Source organism: Homo sapiens, chromosome 15 (genome assembly GCF_000001405.40).
Source record: "Homo sapiens chromosome 15, GRCh38.p14 Primary Assembly".
In the NCBI taxonomy this organism is placed as follows: domain Eukaryota; kingdom Metazoa; phylum Chordata; class Mammalia; order Primates; family Hominidae; genus Homo; species Homo sapiens.
Window position 1 is genome coordinate 96792421 of NC_000015.10, and position 5167 is coordinate 96797587.

General features: G+C 36.8%; 1 annotated feature.

Annotated features, from left to right (window-relative positions):
* Nucleotides 3620–4819: an enhancer, noted in NCBI's record as "BRD4-independent group 4 enhancer chr15:97339270-97340469 (GRCh37/hg19 assembly coordinates)". NCBI's record gives its function as "activates an origin of replication core promoter dependent on BRD2, P300/CBP, MED14 and CDK7 cofactors, and independent of BRD4, by STARR-seq in HCT116 cells {active_cell/tissue: HCT116}" and the evidence as "EXISTENCE:reporter gene assay evidence [ECO:0000049][PMID:35650434]".

Sequence of the window (5167 nt, forward strand, 5' to 3'; positions counted from 1 at the left end):
TGAATGCAGGTTCTGCTTTATGTCTAGCCCAGGTCTTGACTCAATAACAGGTTGCATTGTCTCCAAAATTTTTATTTGAAAAACATTTCAAGCCAGGTGCAGGAGTGGGTGCAGTGTCATGTGCAGTGGTGCATGCCTGTAGTCCCAGCTATTTAGGAGACTGAGGCAGGAGGATCTTTTGAGCCCAGGAGTTTGAGGCTGTATTGTGCAATGATTGCACCTGTGAACAGCCGCTGCACTCCAGCCTGGGCAACATAGTGAGACCCTGTCTCAAAATAAAAATTTCAAATTCACAGAAAAGTTACACAAATAGAACAATCAATACTTATACAGACTTCACTGAGATTTATGGACCATTAACAATGTAATTCCTTTGCATGTGCATTCTCTGTCTCCCTCTCTCTCTCAAATCTACTTATAAAGTACATATTCTCATGCCCTTCATGTCCCAATAATGTTACTTTGTCTTTGCAGCTTCTTCACCATATCTGCCTTGAGTCCACTTGGCCCTCTCTCACTTTGCCCTTTATTTCAGGTGATGTCCTTCAACACCACAAGCCCCAGATCCATGGCTCACCCACTCCTTGTCTCTTGCACTCTGACCATCATGAACCGCTGCATGTCCCCTCCTCTGCCTCTTCTCTTGCCCTTCCCCACTGCTTAAACCTTTCCATCCTGCCCTCTGGAATTCACAATCCATCATTAGCCATACTCTCTATGTTCTCACTTTCTTCTTAGCATGTTTGCTTTTTCAAATAGGTGCAGAATCCAATCAAGAACCATGTATTGCCTAACTCTTGAGCTTCTGTCAACCAGTAAGTAGTTCTTGAATAAATGGCATTAGTTCTTTGAGCCTTAGTTTCACAGTTCTTAAGATGGAAATTAATGACAATAAAGACTGTTATACATGGTTGTTAACAAAAGACACATGAAAGTCCTTCAGATGTTGAGAAGTAAGTACAAGTAGTTATTATTCTAATTTTTATTTAGAGAGCTGAAGATAAGGTTCAAGTTTTATTCATCTTTTTATCTTCAGTACGTAGTATGGTGCCTGGAGTCCAGGCTGACCTCAGTGTTGTGACTGATTAGACTCAGGCATGCATGAACGTAATAGCAAGACCATTTCCCAGAACAACTCGATTATTGGAACTCACTTTCTTCAGTAATGTGGACACTGCAACATTTATATAATCACAAACCAAAGAGTTCGACTAAGTAGTTTATTTCATTTAGAATTTTCATTCAATAAATTTTTTTCTAAATTTTTTTGCTTTCACTGTGGCATCAGAATTGACTCTAGAGAGTAAACAAATGATGTTTTATTTCTATAACTTTTTCAAAGAAACAAACCTAAATCAAATTTCTGATTAATGATTTAAATATAGAGAATTTATTATTCGGTCTCCCTGCATTCCATTTTTATCTGTAAAAATATCCATCATTACATAAAATACCCAGAAGTTTTATGACATTTGCCCTATCTATTTATAGTTGTCAATTCAGAACAACATTTCATTCTAGTTTAGATGGTTTTCCTGGTGTACCTCATATTTGGATGGATATATCCACCATGTCTGATGTTGGAATCCTAATAGTCTAATATTTTGCTAAAAGGGGAAGAGAGAGGGAAGGAAACTAACATTTATGTAGGACCTTTACTATGTCATCCTCTTTATATAAATTATCAGCTTCACGCATTGAAAAGACCTGGTGCAGTCTATATTATTGCCCAAGGAGGAAAGTGAGGCTCGGAGACTGGGACATTAACCGAAGATCCTGTGGCTAAGAAGCTCTGCTGATTTCCACAGCTCACACTTTCCACTCTTTCATACTCTTCACGCCGTTTATGACACTACCTTCTAGGAAGTGACCAGAGGTGTCGGTTTCCCAAATTCTCTGTCAGGCTGAGCAAATCGTGTTTTGTACTCTTTCCCACCAAGCCACTCTGCACTAATTACATTTACTCATGCTATAGTAAGTGTTGATGCAGATAACACCTTTGCTGTAATCCGATAATATCCATTGCATGGGTTTTAGCCTCATTTTTGTCTCAGTTCATTTTATTGTACAGAATTATGACCCCAGGAAAACTAGTGCTCTCCAGAGGGAAGATTATTAAACTAAAATTAGCAGACATGAGAAACTTCTTAAATATCGTCAGCATTTGTGATTTAAAATTGTCATGTTTATTCAATATTGGAAAATGTACAAGGTGATCTTGGCTATACATTGTGACCTTTCGCCTCATCTATACCAAATAAACTATATTGTATGGTAACATTTTAATTTCATATAATTAAACAGTATTAATTTTATAAAAGCAAAAATGTTTTTAAACCTGCATTAATCATCCTTTTAGAAGAAAACAAACAATGTTTCTCCCTCATTATGTTGTTACCTACTAATTAATGGGATGAATCAAATGTTCCTGTTTCTTTAGATTTGCATGAGCTTAAAATACCTTTTCATCTACATTGGGTAGAATGTCAGAACTAGCTTTTGGATTATTTTAAAGCTTGGTAAGATCACAAGGCTTCCCTGAAAATATGTCCTATCTTGACAATGCATTAAACCTTAAGAAAAGTTTAATTAACAAATGTCAGAATGTGTTCCTTCTTAAAAAATGTGACATATTAACAATTCCTTCCTATCTCCTGAGTCTAACAATATCCTAACCCTTAAAGAAAAAAAAAAGAGACATTTTATATCTCAACATAGCTTTTGCTAACTTAAATTTGATGCTTTAAAATTAAAGTACATATAAACTAATATAAAACAAATGTTTTAAGCATTGAATTGTTTCAGTTCTCTTTTAGATATATATTCTCATTAATTTACAGACTATTAGTTTACCTAGTTTTATATCAATAGACACTAATTTTAATTGTAGATTTACATAGACCAGTTGCGGCTACAAAGCTAGTTTAAGACATTGTTTAATATCTCTGCACTTCACCTTTATCTCCTGGAAAAGAGAGATAAATTATCTACTTTACATATGTTCGGGGCATAGCAGACGAGAAACATAGTTATAAATACCCTGGTAACTCTAAGGGGACATGCTAATTAATTTTTTTGTTTGTATTTTTTTCAAATAATGTAGAGGTGCAAGAAAAAATAAGGAAAAAAGACAAATCAGCCATACTTTACCTTATATCTTACATCTCTTGTCTTTAGAGGTCTTTGTTTTGTTCCGGTCCGTTTTCTCTGTTTAAATAGAAATATGACCCCATGTGCATTATAAACAAAGAACTATAATACTGTTTGTATCTCACTTTTCCACCTAATAATCTCCCAAATTATTAATAATAATGGTATATCCACATTCCACATGTCAATTTACTTAATCAAATTTATATTTCCATATTTAGCTTATTTCTATTACTTTACTGGTATAAAAAATGATATGATGATAATCTGCATGAAAGTACCTTTGGATACATATCTGATTATTTCCTTAAGACAGAGTCTTAAAAGTAAAATCGCAGAGTCAAAGAGAACACAAATTTTTAAAATTTTGCTATATATTTCTAAATTGCCCTAAAGAAAGAGGCTTTTTAATTTATACTATCACCAGCAAAGGATGAGAGTGCAGGCCCCTTGCACACCCTTGTCAACACCAGGTAGTTGCATTGTTTTCAATCGTAATAATGTTATTGTTATTATCATTTTCATTATCCCTGGTGTCTTACTTTCTTCTTGTTTTGTATGTGTGTCCTTTTTCACTAAGTGAGAAAATGCAGGTTGTAAAACAGGAAAGTGGCACTCTTTGAACTAGAATTCCTTTCTCTAGAGGCTCAAAAAGCTATTTCATAAAGAAATGTTGTTCCAGCTCTATAATTTCAAGCATCCCAATCACCACTGGCCCCTTGTAGGCCTCAGGCCTACAAGGATGTCTGGGCGACCTAAGGAGAACATTAATATATGCAGCGTTTCCTTTTTATTCCCTTTGGCGACCTGTGCCTTTGGGATGTCTTTGAGGTGTTTGATGCTTTTTGTAGCTAGAGTTATTGATCAGAGTAGCACACGGGAGTGCTAGCGATGGGCAAGAGAGGAGTTTTTACCTGAGCTGGCAGCCAGTGTCGAAGGGGTCTGCTCACACTTCAAATAGTCTCCAGAGTCTTGATGCTCCTGACAAAACTGATCCCGAAGGAAAACATCGTTTATCTTGGCTGGAAAATCAGGGCAACCTGATACTTAATGAATGAAAGGAAAGCATTAGGTGACACGTTTACAGTCATAAAGGATTCATTTGATTTTGCAGTCACCCTACTCTGCTATTAAATTTTAATTTCAGCAAATGACATTTATAAGAATGCCTTGGAAGCACGTGTCCTCTAAGACCACTGTGGTATCCAGGAGTGCAGGTCACCATGTTTCCCAGCTCTTCTTCTGAGAAAACGGTAGTTCTCGCTGTTGGGTGGGGCACAGGACTACCTCTGGTGAAAAGAGGTGACCAGGGTCACTTCGAGGCTGAAGCATTTAGCTGCGCTGACCCTCTGGCGTTCTCCCACTCTGACATAGTGAGGTGACGAGACATTCCAGGTCCCCAAGAGAAGACAGCAGCGCAGAGCCTGCAGAGAGCCACAACAGGCCGTGACGCAGGGATGAGAAACAAACCTATTGCTGGAGACACCGAGACTGTCGAGGTCGCTTATTACCTGGCCCATCTTGATGGATTCAGATGTTTTGAAGGTTCACTTTTCCGAAAGAACACTTAATAGCTGTAAAACCTACAAAAATCACCATGGAATATAGAAGAAGAATTGAAGGTCTGATGAAAGAAACATTTAACACATTCTTAAAAGTTGGAATTAGTTAAAGCGGTTCCTAACTCTCATTGTTATCAGTGGCTTTTCTGCCAATTTCTATTTCTAATCAAAATAAAATTTGGTATGCCAAACTTAAAAATGAAGGCAAATAGTGACAGCGCTTATTGAGTGCCTGTTAGGTGCCAGATACTGTGCTAGATAATTTATATGTTTTATTTCACTTATGGCATCAGAGTAACCATGGGAGGTAAATAACATTTCTATTTCAGGGGGGAGAACTGAGATGAGCAAATATTGAGGGACTTTGAAACCAGCTTGATCTCACTCTACTGCCCTTGTCATTTTTCCCCTCATAAGTGCTTAGTATTTTGATTGCTTATGTATTAATCCAAATA